This window comes from Homo sapiens, chromosome 6 (assembly GCF_000001405.40).
Source record: "Homo sapiens chromosome 6, GRCh38.p14 Primary Assembly".
In the NCBI taxonomy this organism is placed as follows: Eukaryota; Metazoa; Chordata; class Mammalia; order Primates; family Hominidae; genus Homo; species Homo sapiens.
The window spans coordinates 79,232,697-79,252,473 of record NC_000006.12 but is presented as its reverse complement, the minus strand read 5'-3'; the positions used below and the strand labels follow the sequence as shown (position 1 = coordinate 79,252,473).

Below are 19,777 nucleotides of genomic sequence, written 5' to 3'. Positions count from 1 at the left end.
TAAATAATTAACTCAAGATGGATTAAAGACTTAAATGTAAGACCTAAAACTATAAAAAACCCTAGAAGAAAACCTAGGCAATACCATTCAGGACATAGGCATGGGCAAAGACTTCATGACTAAAACACAAAAAGCAGTGGCAACAAAAGCCAAAATTGACAAATGGGATCTAATTAAACTAAAGACCTTCTGCATACCAAAAGAAACTATCAGCAGAGTGAACAGGCAACCTACAGAATGGGAGAAAATTTTTGCAATCTACTCATCTGACAAAGGGCTAATATCCAGAATCTACAAGGAATTTAAACAAATTTACAAGAAAAAAAACAACCGCATCAAAAAGTGGGTGAAGGATATGAACAGACACTTCTCAAAAGAAGACATTTGTGTGGCCAACAAACATATGAAAAAAAGCTCATCATCACTGGTCATTAGAGAAATGCAAATCAAAACCACAATGAGATACCATCTCACACCAGTTAGAATGGCAATCATGAAAAAGTCAAGAAACAACAGATACTGGCAAGGCTGTGGAGAAATAGGAATGCTTTTACACTGTTGGTGGGAGTGTAAATTAGTTCAACCACTGTGGAAGAAAGACAGTGTGACAATTCCTCAATGATCTAGAACTAGAAATAGCATTTGACAGAGCAATCCCATTACTGGGTATGTAACCAAAGGATTATAAATCATCCTACTATAAAGACACATGCACACGTATGCTTATTGTGGCACTATTCACAATAGCAAAGACTTGGAACCAACTCAAATGCCCATCAATTATAGACTGGATAAAGAAAATGTGGTACATATACACCATGGGATACTGTGCAGCCATAAAAAAGGATGAGGTCACGTCCTTTGCAGGGACATAGATGAAGCTGGAAACCATCATTCTCAGCAAACTAACACAGGAACAGAAAACCAAACACCACATGTTCTCACTCATAAGTGGGAGTTGAACAATGAGAACACATGGACACAGGGAGGGGAACATCACACACCGGGGTCTGTTGGGGGGTCGGGGGATAGGGGAGGGATAGCAATAGGAGAAATTCCTAATGTAGATGATGGGTTGATGGGTCCAGCAAACCACCATGGCACGTGTATACCTACATAACAAACCTGTATGTTCTGCACATGTATCCCAGAACTTAAAGTATAATAAAAAAAAAGTAAGCTTTTTATATATAATGCAGAATGAAGAATAAGTAAAGTTTTCAAGTTAAAGTAAATTAAAAATTAAAAAGGTATCAATATTTAACTCAACTTTAAAACAATGTGCAGAGTAGCTTCAAATATAATTTACATGCTTAAATAAATTATAATATATCAAATTACAGATGCAAATGGTTAATATATAGAATTACACAATAATGATAACAATAGGATCAATTTTAAAAAACATTCAAATCATATTTTTCAGCAAAAGTAAAACTATTAATAACATTAATTTCTTAAAAATTATTTTTAGCAAACTTTTGACCTTTACTCAGTATGAGAACATCTTTTAACTTATTTAGCTGCTAGATATCCTTTCAGATATTGTTGGCATTTTTTCCTTTTTAACATTTGACAAAATGAATGATGAATTGATTAATTTTGTCAAATTAAATAATGCAATATAAAATATTTTAGTTTAATTCTGAAAGCCCAGTGCGCACACAAAAGCATGAGGATCAAATATAAACAACATCCACAAGGTGGCCAATAGCAGCCCATAGCGATGCTTGGGCCATCTCTTGCAATATGACTTTAAGATGGAATAATCATGCATTAGAAAGTTCTTTAATCACAGCCATCTATTCCACATAGTTTTGTAACACTGATCTTCCATACATTTTGCATATTTTCCAATTATTCAATTTCTATACTGCTAATGTGATGCCCCAAAACAACAGCAAAACCCAGTAATAGAAATTAAATACTAAGGAATAAGGTTTCATTATTTAGGGTTGAGTTATAGGGCTACAAATCATTGTAATAGCTAAGTTTTTTTTTTTTTTTTTTTTTTTTTTGCCGTCCATGAACCAATTTTAGCCCTGTTGGGGGCAGTATCACCCCTGTTGAGAGGTCATGGTCTAAATAAAGTATCATTTGTCACTCCTGTTTCTAAAATAACCTCCTGGTAGGCCTCAATACCTCCTTTCTTCCCCTCTGCTCTGTTCTGCACAATGCTATCACATGATTTCTCAAAACATAAATCTGATCACCCCACCTCCTTCAATGATTTCAGTGCTTTCAGAATGAAGCCACAATGCCCAACGCTACCTACAAATCATGCATAACTTGGTCCTAACTCTGGTTTCACCTCATACAACATTCTCCAACCTTCTCTGCACTTCACCAGCACTAGGCTACATTTCATTGAACCAATTCATGCCACAGGGACTTCATACATGCTGCTCTTCTGCCTGGAAGCCCCTTCTCTGCCTTTTTTGTTTAGTTAAAGGCTACTTCTTCAGACTGTTGCTTAATCATTCCTTCCTCAAGGAATCCTCTACTATTATCTTCAATTTCATCAAATCTGCCTTTAATAAACTGTGATACAGGAATACCTTCCCTTCAATAACACTCATCACAGTTGTAATTTCATATTTATTGTGCTATAAGTGTTATAGTTGCTATACTTTATAGTTTTTTTTTCCCATCAGTATCTCCCCTGTATCTAGCACAAGTCTGATACATGGTAGATGCACAATGAATTTATTAAATGAATGCATAATTGATGAATTAATTGTGTTTTAATGAACTTGAGTAATTCAAAGAGGTAAAGAGTGAATGACATCCATACCATAATAGTCAGCAAAGCCTTGATGAGGCAAAAGTAAAACTATTACAAGTATAAACTATAATAACAAGTAATATGACTGTATACCTTGATTCTTCTACTAAATTATATTCCACGAATCTTATTTTAAAGTCCAATTAAATAAATTGTGTGGGTTGCCATATTGTCACCTTAGAATGCCATCATATGTAGTGAATACTAAGACTGTTCTAAATATAACTACTTTTCGATACTTCAGATCACATCCTAAAAACTTGTAGTGCCTTAGGGACATCATTGTGAACCACAATTATCATAGCACAACTCAGCAGTCACAGACAACAAAGGCTTGCTTTCAGGATCTGTCAAAAATGCTGCACCAGCATTTTGCACTTCAGCCTTCTGCTGTGCTCTGGGCTGAAGACAGTACCCTGGCATACACCAAGTAGGCAAAATTAGCTCTCACAAGCCTTATCCATGGGAAATGGGTAAGGCAACCACTAACCTCCATCCACAGAAAATGGCCTTCATGCCATTTATGGTACAAGTGTTTAGCGTTGTTCCTGCTGAGGACAGCAATAATGTAGTGAAACATATAACAGGGTTTAGTCAGAAATTTGGGACTTAATCCTGCCTCCATTATTAACCAGTTGGATGATCTTGGAAAATGCATTTGACCTCTTTATACCTCAGTAGAAAGTTAGAATAAATCAGTAGTTGAAACATTTTCACTACTAAGCTCTCCTGTTAATAACTTTTAACCATAAATCTTGTACTTCAAAATATTATATTTAGAAAAATTCACTTACTGAGCAGTAAATTTTGTTTTGTTAAAAATTCTGACGAATATCTAAGGGGGTTAGGAATGGTGGCAAACAAAAAAGGGGAGCTGTGGGAGGCAGAAGGCAGGGTACATGAATGGGCGGGAAGGAGATGTCAGGGAATTAGTGTCCTGTTTTTATAGAACAAAGACTGAGCACGTTAGGGAAACAAACTCCAGCAAGAGTAGGACTTTCTCTAGGTATTTTGAAATATTAAAAATAGTTTACAACACCCATTACTACCTTTGTAATTACCCAAAGATCTGGGGCTGGACACTATAGCACAAGATGATCCCTGAAGTGCCTAGGAAAAGTGTGCTTCAAAGTGAATTTCTATTAAAAGAGTTTTGAGTCACCGACTTCTGTAATCAACTTAGGGAAATTTGGGGGGGGGGCAGGCAAAGGGGAGTTATCTCTTGTAAATATAAGTTACATGTTAAAAAAAAAAGTCATACAATTCAAAGGAAAATATTTCTGTCCTGCAAATACACATTCAAAATATTAATTGTATAAATATGTCCTATCATTGATTTAAATTCATTTACATTATGCATTCCCAGTGAGTACACTATTACACTCAATTGGGCAAAAATTATTTCTTGGGGGATGCTCAAAAAAATCTTAATATTGCAATGGTATATGGGCCGCCAAAGCTCAACCCTACCTGGTAAAATCTCATTTCTTAATTCTAGTTAATTCCTCTCTTTGGGTTTTGGATTTGAGAGAGGTATCCCATGAGCAGCATGGACACTGAATTCACCAAAGGTACACAAGATACATGCCAGATCAATGCTACAAAACTATGCACATAGATAGCTGTGAATCAAGGACTTTCTCTTGTTTGATGGCTGAATCTCAGACTCCTATTTCAAGAAGTGGCCTGCTCATGGCTATGGGTTGCTGTTGGCCTGTGGATGTTGTTTATATTTGTTCCTCATGCTTTTGTGAGTTGGGCTTTGAGAATTAAACAAGAATAGTTTACATTTTATTATTTATGCTGAAAAAAATCATGTGATCCATTATTAATTATGTCAAGTGCTAAAAAAACTGAATAAAAACTAGCAATTACATTAAATTATATTCTCATATCAAGCATAAGCCTAAAGTTAACTGAATAAGAATAGTTTTTAAGAAATCAATTTAATATTTTTATTTCAGCTGGAAAAATAATACTTTGGAGTGATTTTTCAAAACTTTGATTACATTTCTATCATTCTTATGTATTTATATAAATTTCTAGGATTTGACCCCTCTTTTGAATTTAGTTCCTTTAGAATTTTTTGTATTTAACAGCTGTCATTTTAAAAATTATTTTCTTAGTTTGTCCAATTTTTTTCCAGTTAAAAGTGAGAGTGACTGTCATAACTTTCTACATTCTAACTGGAGCAGAATGCTACTTATTTTAATTTTGCCATATTGATAGAGGAGAAAAATTAACAGGATACAGGGATTCTATACATTTGAGAAAGAAGAAGGGGTAGATCAGTATCCAAGGTGAAGATTAATTCTCCAGGCTAAAGACACTGACACACTAGGCACTTTATTCTGAAGGGGGTCTCTATATAGGGAAAAGCAGCAAATTGATTTCTTACAAATGGGCCCAAACACTAGGGATGATGCTGATTCTCAAATTGTGGGGCTTAAGCTCTTTAAACTCTTCTTATGTAAAGTCAGTTGATCCATGCCTTTGAACTAAAATTTCTTTTAGTTTCCTTTTAGGGTCAAAAGCAGATGTGAAACCTCATTCAATACTTTTCTCTTTGGTCCAGAAAGAGATGTTAGCCAGAATGCTAGATGAGATCAAAGATCTAGGGAGAAGCTCTAGTTTCTAATGTCCATGTATAGCCACCCTTTGTGGGTCACAGTTTGTAGAGGCCTGAAGCTAGGCAGAGTATGTATCTTTCTGAAGTTGCATATTCTGATAAGTAATGGTTTTCCATAGCTAATCATCCCAAAGAGGAAACCCTGTCATCAAGGCTGCTAAATGAGCAAATTAAGGAACTTTGTGCTAGAGAATGAGTTTTTGGCTGGGCACAGTGGCTCATGCCTCTAATTCCAACATTTTGGGAGACCCAAGCAGAAGGATCACTTGAGCCTGGAAGTTCAAGAACAGCCTGGGCAACATAGCAAGACCCTGTCTCTATCTTAAAAAAAAGTTACTGAAAAGAGAATGAATCTTTCTACTTCATTGCAGTATATTAGGTATTTGGTTAGCACATAACTTAGCTACATCCAGACCTGATGGAAAGGACTAACTATTTCCTGGAGGTGTGTTAGACTTTGAGCTGAACACTGTAACTGGAAGATGTGGATGGGTTTCTGCTTTGGACAGAAGGTGAGTATGTTCTATGTGTCAAAAAAACAGTATGAATATTTGGGTGGCCAAAGTGGAGGGCATTGTGGCTGAAGCTGCTAATGTATTATTTTTCGAATGCTGTCATAACAAATTGCCATAAACTTAGTGACTTAAACCAGTGGTCCCCAACTGTTTAGGCATCAGGGATTGGTTTTGTGGAAGACAATCTTTTCACGGACTCAAGGGTGGGATGGGAGATGGTTTCAAGATGAAACTGTTCCACCTCAGATCATCAGGCATTAGATTCTCATAAGGAGCATGCAACCTAGATCCCTCACATATGCAGTTCACAATAGGGCTTATGCTCCTATGAGAATCTAATGTCATCACTCATCTGACAGGAGGTGGAGCTCAGGCAGTAATGCCCACCTGCCACTCAGCTCCTGCTGTGCAGCCCAGTTCCTAACAGATAACAGATGAATGAACAGATAACAGGCCATGGACCCATGGCCCGAGGATTGGGGACTCCTGGCTTAAACAACAAAAATTTATTATCTTTCAGTTTTATAGACTAGAAGTTTGACATGGACCTCACTGGGCTAAGATTAGGTGTTAGCTGGGCTGAGTTACTTTCTGGAGATCCTAGGAGAAAATCTATATCCTTGCATTTTCCAGTTTCTAAAGGGCAACTACATTCCTTGGCTAATGGTTCCCTTTCTTCCTCCTCAAAGCCAGCAGTGGTGAGTTGAGTCCTTTTCACATGGAATCTCTGACCCTCATCTTAGCTCCCTTCTTACCATAGCTTGGAAAAAATTATCTGCTTTTAAGAATGTATGTGATTAGATTGGGCCTACAGGGATAATCCTGGATAATCTGCCTGTCTAAAGGTCCTTGCCTTAATCACATATGCAAAATCCTTTTTCCTATGAAAGGTAATATATTTACAGAAACATTCTAGTATTAGGATGTTTTGGGGGAAAATTATTCTACCTACCACAGCTAATTACACTTCAATACTAATGTTCTTCTTCGTCACAAGTATTACTAAAAACTGGGAATATCACTATAAATATCCATGTCATTTACTAAAAACTGGGAATATCATTGCCCAGAATAAAGACCATGTTTCTCCACTTCCTTTGATGTGACTAAATTCTATGATGGGATGTAAATGGAAGTGATATGTGCAGCTTCCGGAAGTTGCCTTAAAGAGGGAGGGCATTTATCATTTATCCTTCCTGCTGGCCAAAATGAACATATGAGGAATGAAGGTGGATAAGACATCTTCAGCCAAGATACAGAAGGTGCGTAATGAAGGTGAAAGAGTAATGAGACAGAAAAGTGTGTCTCAGTTAGTTGTGGAACCACTGTATCAACCCTGTGTTTTTAATGTGAGGGAAAATATTAACTCTATTTTCCTACCCACTGTTACTTGGGAGTTTTCATACTTACAGCCAAAGCTAATCCTATCAAATACAGCGTGTAATAAAGTTGCCAATCCAGTGTACAGAAAATGAGATAAATGGATGAGGAATGAGAAAACAGGATTTGAGATTTCTCCAGACTTTGGCCAGTTAAAGAAGGAGAAGCTATGGGTATGGCCATCCTCCCTACCCTCCCACCCCCACAGATTCAAGAAGAAGGTGTAACTGCAGGACACAAGAGAACTATAGGGCTCAAATACATCAGCCTTCTCCATTATGGGAGTCTCTCATCAAAGTTCTCTGCAAACTTTGGAAGAGTCAAGTTTTAATTTTAAACCTTATCAGTTTTCACTAGGAAAAGAAAAAGGATCCCCAAATCTCTGTGGCTTCAAAACAGCGAAGGCTTATTTCTCGTTCACTCTACATGTCCATCTTGGGTCAGTTGGGAGCTCTGCTCATTTTAATAATTCAAACGCCCAGGTGGAGAGAAGCACATCTTTGCATGTGCTTCCTTGCTCATGGCAGCAAAAAAAGGGGGCAGTATGGTGAATCATGCACTGGTTCTCAATGATGGTGCTCACCATAGCAACACTATTCACAATGGCCAAGAGGTAGAAGCAATCCAAATGTCCACTGATGGATGAACAGATAAATAAAATATGGTATATTCATACAATGGAATATTACCCAGCCTCAAAAAACAGAGGAAATTCTGTCACATACTACCACATGAATGGACTTTAAGGACATTATGCTAAGTGAAAGAAGCGAGTCAATAAAAAGACAAATACTGTATGATTTAACTTATGTGAGAGACATAGAGTAGTAAAATGCATAGACACAGAAAGTAGAATGGTGGTTACCAACGGCTGGAGGAGGTGGAAAAGGGAAGTTGTTTGATGGGTATAGAGTTTTAAGTTTTGCAAGATGAAAAGGTTTTGGAGATTGGCTTCACAACAATGGGAATTTACTTAACACTACTGAACTATATACTAAAAATGGCTAAGATGGTCAATTTTATGTTATGTGTTTTTTTGCTGCAATAAAAAAAAATGATACTCAGAAAAGACACACATCACTTCTGTTCACATTTAATTAGCCAAAGCAAGTTACATAGTTATGCCTACCTTTAAAAGATGGGGAGGGGAAGTGCAATCCTGTCATGAGGCAGTAAAGCAGAAATATTTGGTGAATAGTACTAATGATAATTGCAGTCTTCACTTCAGGGCATGAAGTATTTCCTTCATCTTTCTTCCCATGTACAAAATGCATTCATTCACTTTCCTCTGAGGGAAGAAAACTCAAAAGTCTCAGTGATGGCATCAATTTCAAAACCCAGGATCCCTGGATGACGCATGGTAGTCTTTATGTCAGGGGATAATGTGAAGGAGCCTGTAAAATAGGTCTGTGTATATCTCCTTTTGATCCAGAGACCTGGCCCTCCCACCTCCCACTCACACATTATCCAGTAGTAGAACAGAGTCAAGATACCTTCAACAAATACTCACATTAAAAAGCAGAAGAATGGGAAACATATGGCAGTCATTGGCCTGTCATTAGCAGTCATTGGCCTTTCAATATTAGACTAGGCAGATGTTTTAAACCTCCTACCCAGAGGATTGGAAATGTTCCTTGAATAGGCTGGATTTCCTGAAAGGAGCTCCCCTGTCCACTGATCTCCGTGATTCTCGGATTCTCCCTTTGGGAAAGTCCTCTTTCAGCCTTCTCTGAATAGGCACCCTGCTTCCTGCCTATAAATGGTGCAGAGTCCAAGAGCCATGTTAAGTCTCAAATTGCAACAATCACATTTAATCCAGGTTAGAGCCTTTGTTTAGCAGTAAAACTCTTACAAAATTAACCTTGGTTGTCTTCTGACTTACTCCCATGTTTCTTTCTAGATTTACTTCTTTGCCATATTTCTGTGTTTTCTTGCCCCAGCAGTTCTGTTTTCCCTGCCTCTCCCTTTTCTCCCTCTGTCCCCTCTCCCCTAATTATAGGTTCCTTGAGCCTAGCAGTGACAGCTACGCCTTTTCCCATGAGCCAATTTAAGTCATTCTGGGCCATTTGGTCTAACTGAAGGAATTACTGGGCACCATACCCTAATTCATGACCAGTGATCTGATCCTTGCCACAAAGCTGAGTTTTAATGTGCTTTTGTTGCTCAAAGGATCGATTTTACCTTTCATTTTTTAGACTGAGAAGCAGTTGCCTTTTCCAACCTTATAAGTTCTTGACTTTGTAGACTCTCTAAATCTCTTTCATCTACCCTTACAAACTGACCAAGTCTTCTCTGAATATATCTTTTTCTTACAATGTCTTATTAAATACAATTAATAATAGGCAATAAACAGTAATGATAATCTGTTTTCAACCTCTTCCCCAAAGTTAGATATGCCTTTTGCCTCCAAATTACTGTAGGGAATAGTCTTACCAAACTTTTCCCCACTAGAAAAATAATTTCCATTCTTCCAGGCTTCAGTAATAGTTTGCTTGATTCCTTCTGACCAGCTCTTAAGCCAATGCCACTTATTTTAGGGTTTGTTTTATTATTAAAGCAGCACCTTTCTCTTAGGATCTAAGTTCTATATCATTTCAGGATAAGATAGATAATCCTGTGGAAACAAATTTCCCTCAAATCTCAGCAGCTTAAATAAAAGGTTCATTTTTAGCTTTGACAGCTCTATGTCCATTGGAGGGGGGGATCTTCAAAGGGTTCTGTTCTGTTCACTGTGATCACTGAAAGAAACACATGGGCAATCTCCATATCAATATCTGTTTCCATAATCAGCTCCAGTGAGAGTGTGTCTCTTTTTTGTTTTTGTTGTTGTTGTTCTTTGTTTTTTGTTTTGCTTTGTTTTGTTTCGTTTTGTTTCGTTTTTTGAGACAGGGTCAGGCTCTGTCACCCAAGTTGGAGTGCAATGGCACAATCTCATCTCACTGCAACCTCCACAACCTCTCTGGCTCAAGCAATTCTCCCACCTCAGCCTCCTGAGTAGCTGGGACTATAGGCACATGCCACCATGCCAGGTTAATATTTGTGCGTTTTTTATTTTTGGTAGAGATAGGGTTTCACCATGTTGCCCAGGTTGGTCTCGAATTCCTGGGATCAAGCAATCCACCTGCCTTGGCCTCCCAAAGTGCTGGGATTACAAGCATGAGCCATTGAGCCCAGCCAAGTATGTCTCTGAAAGCTGGAAATATTTGGTAAGCAACACTAAAGGAAGCTCCATAGTTCTGGATTCAGTTGTAGAGAACAGAACCCACTCTACCTAATTTAAGGAGAAAAGGTTTCAAAGATTCAATAGACTATGGGATAGCTCAGAAGACTAAAGAGATAGACTGCAGGTTGAACTCTCAGAAAAGTCTCCCAAAGTCACACTCAGAACAAGGTCGTCAAAGGAGCTGTGTCTCTTTTGCAAGCAGGAATCCACTAGTATCGGGACTCTATAAGAATAAAAACACTTTCTCAATCATAAAGCCCCTGTCTCTGCCAGTTTCAGACCACACCTCACCGCTACAGTCTATGCCTACAGAGTGAATGCAGGGAGACATGCCTCTCTGAATCCACAATGCTGGTGCCTGGGATCTTTGCTGATGTTGTTTTAGGAAAAAAAGCAGCAGACACAGCAGATGTAGCAAAAGTGTGGCCTCTTCCTAACCTCCACTGTCTATACCTCATGCTTCTAATTAGGCAAATGCAAATTACATCAGAACCCCAGCTGTAGTGTGGACTCCAGCATCTAGAGTGTAGGGAGTCACACTAAAACTGAGATGGAGTTGAGCAACAATCCAGCATTTGCATCGGTAAAACACAGCAATAGGCCATATTATGGAGCACCCCGTTCTATAGCAACAATAAAATACTTCTTTTAATCATGTTTATCCCTGCCTACTTTAAAGTAATTTTAAGAGGTTTATGCTAAGTGTTCATAATCAGGCCCTTAGGGATTCAGGAAAAGTTAAAAATTTTCTGTGTTCTCTTTTATCATTTTAGGGGGAGTATAATATACATGCTTCAAATGAAATATGTTAAGCATCATCCTTCAGGGATATGCACATTCCCATAGTTTGGTGGTTTAACATCTTCAATTTTCACACCAGTTCCATGAAACAGTGTATCAGTTAGGGATAGTATTCAGCTGCACATCACAGACATCCACCTAAAGTGCCTTGATCAAACATGGTGTTTATTTTCCAAACATTAACAGTAGACTACAGCTGGACAATCTGGGGCCACTGCAGAGACCTCAAGTCCTGCCTTTCTGCTCTTTCATCATGAACTGTGGCCCTTCTCTCTTTGGACATAGATGGCTGTTCTACTTCCAGACATTGTTAGCAACTTCCAGGATGGAAGGAGAGGAAGAACAAAGGCACAAGGCAGCTAGCTACCCGGCTAGGTTTGTCCTGTTATTTGGTGTTGCTTACACAATCACCTTATGACTGTGTGTTCATGTATTTCATTAGCCCCAGAGGTGTCACATAGCAACCTCTATCTGCCAGGGAGCTGGAGGAACTAAAGATTGCTTTGTTATGTTTTGTTTTGTTTTGACCAGGCCTATTGCCAAAATCAGAATTCTGTTAGTAGGAAGAAAGCTAGTGTGAATATTGGGCAGGTAACTAGTGGTATCTGCCTTGAATAGACATTCTTTTTCTCATTTTATAATAAGGAAACCAGGGTTCAAAGAGGTTAAGTAATGTGATGGTAGCTCAATAGCTTGAGATTTGAATTCATGCCTATGACTGCAAATTCCAAACTTTTTGATAAACATTTATTTTTAAAATGGTTAAAACAATTTTTTTGACATGTTAAGAGGTAAATTGGATTATTTAGGAGAAAAAAAAAGAAAAAAACAACCCATTTGCTTAAGATTACAGACAGCAGAAGTGGGAGTGGGAATGAGAAGGTAGAAAAGGATGAGAGTTTTTTTGTGGGAGTAGCACAATTCTGTGTTTTAAAAACAACAAAAGCCTTATGCAGATAAGCAGCCTTGAAGATTATGGCACATTTGCAGGCTAGTTTTCCACTGCTGGGCAAAACTTTATTGCCTTGTGGCTAGAATTCATTCTGACCTGGTGGCTAGAATTCATTCTGACCTGGCCAAACTCATTTTATCGGCTAACTCTTTCTTAGTGCTTGAGAATTACAAGAGTTATTAACCAAGCTAACCTGAAAATCATCTCCAGTTGCTTTATGGTATTTTTCAGAATGATTCATTCGACTCTCATTTCCCCAAACCAGCATTTTCTTGCTTTCATTGAGAAAAGGAAAATGGTATGATATCTCCGAAAGGCAGGACCATTGAGGGTAGCGACGGGGATGGGGTTACTAAATGTTCCTTACAAGCTCCCAGGGATTCTGAGATTTGAAGGAAATGCAGAAGACACCAAAAATAGGTAGTCAAAATCACTAGCTTAAAGAAAAGGGTGTGGTCCCATTTGAGAGTGTACTGGCACTGACAGTAGTTTACAAGAATGTGCAATTCAGTCGGAGAGCTCTGCAACAACTACTAATTGGTCTTTGGCACCTTGCAGCTTGTGGCTTTTTACCTAAGGGGATGGGATGGAGTCCTTATTTTGCTGTGTCCTCACCATGAACTTTGGGGATTTCCTTCCCTTAACTTTCTCACCTCCTTGAGCCTGGATGGCTCTTGGCACCAGCCATGCTAACAATCTGACAAAAAGGAATGGCTAAACCAATGTATCCCAATCCCTGGTTCTAGCTACTGAGCATATCTAATTCATTCCCAAATAGTCATTTGGGTGCTAAAAAGAGCAAATTAATCACACTCCTGTGAGTTTAAGCAGCAGGAGCAAGAAGGAGAGGTAAATATCACAGAGATTGAACCTGAAAAGTACCAGGGGTGGAAAAACTGTGTAAAACATACCTGGGGTAAAGAATCTGCACAAATATTAAATTTGATTGAAGGTTGGGAAAACAAAGAGTGGGTTCCTTGGAAGGTCACAGAATGCCCTGGTTCCTCTTGCTGTTAATGCAGTTGTGAAGTATGCTTATGCAATCATTGACATTTAGCCTTGAAAGGGTGTGGCTTATGGGCTTTGGCCAAGGTAAGTTCCCTTTGAGGATTTGGGATCAGGGATTTTCATCTCCCAGGGGCCCAAGGAGCTGCCTAGAGGGGCTGCCTGGGAAGAAGAAGACACTTTTCTAGGTATCTGGATGTGTGCAGTTTTTAATCACTCTTCAGGTTCCTTGCAACTACAGAAGAGAAAGAAAGTGAAATAAACAGGTTGTGCCCAGCAAAACTGAGATGGAGCAAAAGCATGAGGTGAGGACTGTGGGGCGAGTTTCACCCACAGAATTACGCTCCTGCTCTGGAAGTATGTTGAGAACTCCACAGGCTTTTATAGATACCTGTCATCAGAATCCAAGTACCGGCATTCAGCAAATATTTGTTGAGAGCAAGGGCCTAGTCTATTAAATACTCTAGTCCCCGAATTATAGTGTAAGCAACACATGAAAAGCTTGTTTGAAAATGCAGATTTCCAAGCCTAGCCATTCAATACCTTGGGACTGGGGCCTAGGGATCTGCACTAATATCAGGCAGCTCATTTGATTTGGGACCGTTAGTTCTTGGACTCTTATTGTTGCTTTGTAAAAACTAACCTTGGTCTCTTCAAAAGTTAGCACCCAATCAAAGTAGAGACTTGACTGGAAAATACAAACAAAATATTCTTTTGCCACCTCTTATTTGTTGTTTTTGATGTTGTTTTGTTACACACCTGAATTCTTCACTGTGTATTTTTTGACCTATTTATGGAAGATTAGTAACTTAATCTGGAATTACAAACTATCAGAAGCAACACAGTATCATTTTCACTTTTCCCCTTTCTTCCTTTCTCCCTCTGTCTGTCTCTCTCTCTCTCTCTCTCTGTGTGTGTGTGTGTGTGTGTGTGTGTCTGTCTGCCAATGTCTCTGTCTCTTTCTTTGCCTTAATGATAGTCATGACTATCATTTGTTTTGCCCTGCTGTCTGAAAAATGCAAAGTAGGTGTACAGTTGCAACTATCAAAAGCAACAATATGTACATTCTGGATCTGACTTCTCCAGTAATTTGTCATTACTTACAGCAAAAGCCTAAGGGACCCTGCCTGTGTCTGCCTGAAAGAGGAAAAGAGGGACAGTTCAAGAAGGAGGTGATCTGCAAGTCATTCTTTCCCTTGAAAACTTCCTCTCAAGCCTGGTGTGGTGGCTTGCACCTATATAACTACTCAGGAGGCTGAGGCAGGAGGATCTCTTCAGCCCAGCAGTCTGACGTGCAGTGAGCTATGATTGTGCCACTGCATGCCAGCCTGGGCAACAGAATGAGATCTTACCTCTAAAAAAAAAATTTTAATATTAAGCATTTTTTTTTCGGAATGTCAAAGATCCACAACATTCATTAGCAGTGGCATTCAATTTTTTTGACCAAGACCATACTAAAAATATATTTCATGTCACAATCCAACATACACACATACATATCTGTGTTGTGTATGTGTTTATATGAGCACATATGGAAAATAGAAACAATTATCTTATGAAACATTACTTACCTTTACCATATATACTCTGCTATTTTCTATGCTTGGCCCTTTCTTTGCTTTTCTTAGCCTTCCCTTCTCCCTTCTCCCTCTCTCTCTCTCTCTCTCTGTGTGTGTGTTTGCGTGTGTGTGTCTGTCAATGTCTCTGTCTCTTTCTTTTCCTTAATGATAGTCATGACACTATAAATGGTTTTGCCCTGCTGATTGAAAAATGTGAAGTAGGTGTACAGTTCCAACAGTTTTGAGTAGGACAAAAGAGGAGAGGAGCTGGAATTGGAAAACAAGTTTGTTCACTATTTTTTTTCTTTCTGTCTCAGTCAGTAACTCTGTTAATTTATCCAGGTCTACCTTAGCTAAGATAGTATATACATCCTACTTTTACTGTCTTAGAGGCTGATATTCCAAAGTAGTAGAAATGCTCAGTGGAATATATTGATAAACAAATGAGTCTGTACTTCTTACCAGCTTGACCTCCTCACTGTCTTCTATGTGACACCCTCATTTCTGCCCAGATGTCTTTATCTCTTAACCTAGAATTCTAGCTACCTGCTAAATCATTCTCTTTGCCTACTCTTCTTACCTCCAGGGCCACCAGTAGAGGTTTGCACTGACTTTCCCAGATCTTGAAGGCTACTAAAGGTACAAGGGAGAACACTTCATTTCCTAGAGTAGTGCTCAGCCAGGTGCAATCTACATCAAAGGAAAGATAAGCAATGCTGTTGTTTTTCAACCGAAGCTGTTATTTTCATAACTTGTAAATGAACTAAAGATTCCAAGAACTCGAGGTCCTCACAATCAGCTTTCTTCATCCAACAAGCAAGCTTCAATTTCATCGTAGCATTTTTATTGTGTGCAGTAAAAACATTCACAATTTTGTTTGCTGTTGATGATCTGAGTGTTTGGTTTTGAAAAAAAATTAACAAAGAAGCCAATTTTGTGAGTTATTTTTCATCACAGAGGAGAAATATTCACCTTAGCACTACCTTTGTTGTGGCACCTTTCCATCTCCATGAAGAAAAATAGCCATCCAGTCCAGATTGCAAGTGCTACTCAGTATCCTTCTCACACATATCTTACTAAAAATGTTTTCACTGACTTTTTCTTTATTTAACTATCAAGTATTTGGCAAATTAATATCTTGAAAGACATCTTCATTATAAATATTATTTTAATGATAAAATTATTAACTTGTAAATTTTTATCTAGCTCTAAGCAATTGGTTTTTATCTTAATTCGTTTCAGTATACTATTGTCATTCACTGAATGCCCAAGAACAGGGAATCTATCAAAAATGATTAAGATCATGTCAAAAGGACACAAGCACTAATTTGAAAGGGTATGCATTGGCTAAAGATGTGGTAATAGGAGCATTAAAAAGGTAATAATAATGATAGCAATACACTGATGCACACCAAATATGTAAAAATCCATGAGTTCATAAAGATGTTCCAAAAAAGAAAGTAATCAACCACCTCTGGAGAGTACTAGATCAATTAATGTATTCTGAAAATTACTAAAGAAAAAGTGAAATATTAAACTTCATTGCTTTTTTAATACATATTTAATACATGATATTTTTAATACATATTTGCAGCCTCTGTGTTACCAAAGTGGATTTGGCCATATTTGTAATGTAAGGCTTCAACACATTTTCCTATGATGTGAGCTTTGCCTGCTAAGATGATTCTGAAACTAACTTTGCCCAATTTTGCTTTTTCTATAATTTCATATGAATGCAATCATTCAGTGTGGTCTTTTGTATTTGACTTCTTTCGTACAGCACTTTGTTTTTGATATTCATCCATGTAGGAAAATTTTTTATTGTTTTTTATTGCTGAATAGTATTCCACTGCATGTGCTCATCACAATTTGCTTACCCATTCACTAGCGCTTTTCCTGCATCTGCTGAAAGGATTGTTTTTCCCCCTTTATTCTATTAATCCTGCCAATTACATTGATTGATTCTCAGATATTAAAAAAGCAGCTTTGCATTCCCAAGATAAGCCCCACAGGTCATGATGTATTGTCCCTTTAAATGTTGTTGAGTTTCATTTACTAAAATTTTGTTCACGACTTTTGTGTCTATGTTTATGAGTGATATTGGTCTGTAACTCTCTTTTGAAGTCTTTCACTGGTTTTGGTATCAGAGTAAATCTGGTCTCATAAAATGAATTCAGAAATATTTTTGCAATGCTCATTTTATGCCTTGCAGAACTTTGAGAAATATTACGCATAAAGTGTAACATGACGGGTGTCATTCAAATATATGTCTCAAATATAAAATAATCAGTTTTTGCCTTGTTCTTTCTTTTCCTAATTTCCGTAACAAACATGTCCTATTCGTCTTCACATCTAGTTTGAAGTTAGCTGAATTAGTGAGTGATTTATAATCACAGATTTCAGAAAATTAGAGCTAAGTGATTTTAGGGACTGTTGTCACTATATATCTAGGGGGGGAAACTGAGGCCTTTAGAAGTTGCCACGCTCTTCCAGTACAGAGTACCTTCCCACGCTTTACAGATTCCCACCATGTAACATTCATTAAAAGCCTTTATGGGTAGGAAATGAATAAGGTACCTGCTGTGTATATATTTACATTATAAAGTTTACGTATTCATTCTTACTCTTTTTCCTTCCTATGAAGACACACACTGTTCTTATTCTTACAATCTCAAAGAGAGAGCAGCGAAACAATGAAACTTCAGGATTGTGTGGCCTGGAGGCTACTAGTTGAACTGGGCATGCTCAGTCGCCAGGCAGATTTTTTTCGGTGAAGTGGAAACTACAACAGCGCGTACCGCGCGCGGAGGTGGGCGTGCCCTCGTGGAATTTAGAACGTTGCCTCAGCCAATGGGGCCTCGCGGCCGGCTGGCGGGGCTCCTCATTGGAGCAGCAGGGAGGCGAGCAGAGGGCCCCCAGAGGGAGCCGCGGAGGTGCAGGTCGAAGAGGCCGGGCTACGTCGTGCCCTGCGCGTGAGCAGCTGCAGAGGCAGAGGCAGCATCCAGCGGCGGCGCCAGCAGTTCCAGTCCGTTGCTTTACTTTTTGCTTCACCGACATAGTCATTATGCCGAAGAGAAAGGTAAGTCTTACCAAAAAAAGATTTCAAAAGCCTTCAAATTCTGCTTACAGTAAATGCTGGCATTGCAATGGCTCGCGCAGAACGCGCGCGGTAGTAACCCGGGGATTGGGAATCTTTGCTCCTCCACGCTTGTTTTTAGATGCCTGTTGCAGACGTTCCTCTCTCTGTCCCCCCTACCCACTCCGTCCTCATCGATCTCTTAATGTTACTTTCTCTCCAGTGACGCGGTTTCCCTTCTTTTTGAACTCATTCTCGCTGGAATGTTTTCCACCCCCAACAACAAGAAGCAAAAGCGGCTTTCCATTCCGAAAGGGAGTTTCCTCTTTGCAAACTGCCAGGTTGCGAATTAGTGTGAAGGGAAAACAGCGAGAGGAGAAAAACAAGTACAAGCGTAAGGAGAGGGAAGAAAATAAATCAGGCAAATGTTGGGATTATTCCCATGCGGCTGTACTCGCGGGCTGGGTGCGCTGCGGTGGCTCCTAGGCTAAGGGAAAGAGAAAGCCATGTTTAAAATAGCGCTCACCCTCCTGCTCGCCTCCGCTGCAGACCCGTATGTACCAACTCCAGTGTCAATCAGGGCTGGGGCCGGCGAGGCGGGGCCTGGCGGCCTGGACCTACCCGCAGTTCGGGGCGGGAGCGGTGGAGTTGGCAGCGTGGAAGACGGGACGGCGCCGGGGCGTCCAATATGGCTCGTCCAAGGTCAGGGGGCCACCAGGTCCTCCCCAGCGACTGGAACCCACACTCGGTTGGGGAAGGCGGGGTCCGCGCGCTATCCGCCCCTCTGCGCGTCTAGCGAACTGGAGTCATTTTTGTCTTGTCTTCCGCCCCTTGCGGACTGTCCTCTTCTGCGCAGGCCCCGGACACCAACTACTACATTCAGGGACACAAATCTCCCTCGGGGTGGGGCTTCGACTTGTCCCGGGGAGGGAAGGGAAAGGTTTCCTCCTCCCTGAGAAATCAGTGAGGATTTCTCAGCTGGTTCCTAAGCAAGTGCTTTGCACCCTCCCACCGCCAGCCTCAGTGTTTCCAACAGTGTCAACGAGTGTGGGTATTAAATTTGAAGCAAAATTACACCTAATGTCTTGCTTTATCAAAGACCATGGACTAATTTGTGTGTGAGAGTGACTGCATTATTTTAAAATACTGAAGTTTTAAAAATTCAAAAGCTTTCCCCTTCTTATATGTTATTACTAAAAATTGGGTAGAAACTTGTCTCCTACCCCACTTTTTAAAAATAATTGAAAGTGTTTAAAAGTCTTAGAGTTTGTTGTGCACATACTGTGTCCCTCACGCTGTGCAGAATTTGACTTGCATTATCTCATTTAATCCTGAAAACAGCTTGAGCGGTGTTACCCCCATTCAGCTGGGACTTAAAGACATAAATTGTCCTGCATCTCACCAACCAATAACTACTAGTAAAGATTTAATCAGATGCTATAGATGCCAAAGTCTTATTCTCACCCATTTCGTACTCACTTACGAAAGGGTGGGTCAAGAGGAATTAAGGAAATCCAAAGGTACTCCCAGTTTAAGAAGACAGATGGCATATTAAGAGCACTAATACTTGAGATTTATTATTTAAACTTAATTTTATGAAGGTATTTTCTAGCCCTGTTTTACTAGAATTAGGATATTAAGTGATGTCACCATTTTCAGCATTTTGACTGAGGGTTAATGATGGATTGGAAATTCTAGTAGAGACAAAGGAACTAATCATCAAGATACGGGTTACAGAGTAAGTGAGCTGGAGGCCATCTTTTTTTCCTGGGAATTATAACCATTGTTTACATAAACAGTAGGTTAGGTGTGCACACTTTATGTATAATGGACCCTGACGATGGAACCCTTC

The 19,777-nt window shown here is 39.2% G+C and overlaps 1 protein-coding gene and 1 long non-coding RNA gene across 10 annotated transcripts in view, besides 3 other annotated features; one reads left to right on the top strand and one right to left on the bottom strand.

Moving 5' to 3' along the window:
* HMGN3-AS1 (HMGN3 antisense RNA 1) lies at window positions 15,674-18,800 on the bottom strand. Its single transcript, NR_040671.1, has 2 exons — window positions 18,547-18,800; window positions 15,674-18,412 (listed from the first exon to the last, which is right to left on the bottom strand). It is a non-coding gene; the product is annotated as an HMGN3 antisense RNA 1 (long non-coding RNA).
* Window positions 17,674-18,463: an enhancer, noted in NCBI's record as "H3K27ac hESC enhancer chr6:79943728-79944517 (GRCh37/hg19 assembly coordinates)". NCBI's record gives its function as "activates a minimal SCP1, AML or CMV promoter by ChIP-STARR-seq in naive H9 embryonic stem cells {active_cell/tissue: H9 hESC(naive)}" and the evidence as "EXISTENCE:reporter gene assay evidence [ECO:0000049][PMID:30033119]".
* HMGN3 (high mobility group nucleosomal binding domain 3) overlaps window positions 17,792-19,777 on the top strand; it is a 33,438-nt gene continuing 31,452 nt past the window's right edge. For all 9 annotated transcript variants that reach the window (NM_001318885.2, NM_001318888.2, NM_138730.3 and 6 more), the window contains exon 1: window positions 17,792-17,928. In NM_001318885.2, coding sequence (NP_001305814.1) covers window positions 17,914-17,928 — 15 coding nt within the window. In that variant the 5' untranslated portion in view covers window positions 17,792-17,913. The remainder of the gene's footprint in view (window positions 17,929-19,777) is intronic.
* Window positions 18,464-19,254: an enhancer, noted in NCBI's record as "H3K27ac hESC enhancer chr6:79942937-79943727 (GRCh37/hg19 assembly coordinates)". NCBI's record gives its function as "activates a minimal SCP1, AML or CMV promoter by ChIP-STARR-seq in primed H9 embryonic stem cells {active_cell/tissue: H9 hESC(primed)}" and the evidence as "EXISTENCE:reporter gene assay evidence [ECO:0000049][PMID:30033119]".
* Window positions 18,467-18,516: a silencer, noted in NCBI's record as "silent region_17348". NCBI's record gives its function as "represses an Ori minimal core promoter by ATAC-STARR-seq in GM12878 lymphoblastoid cells {active_cell/tissue: GM12878}" and the evidence as "EXISTENCE:reporter gene assay evidence [ECO:0000049][PMID:35858748]".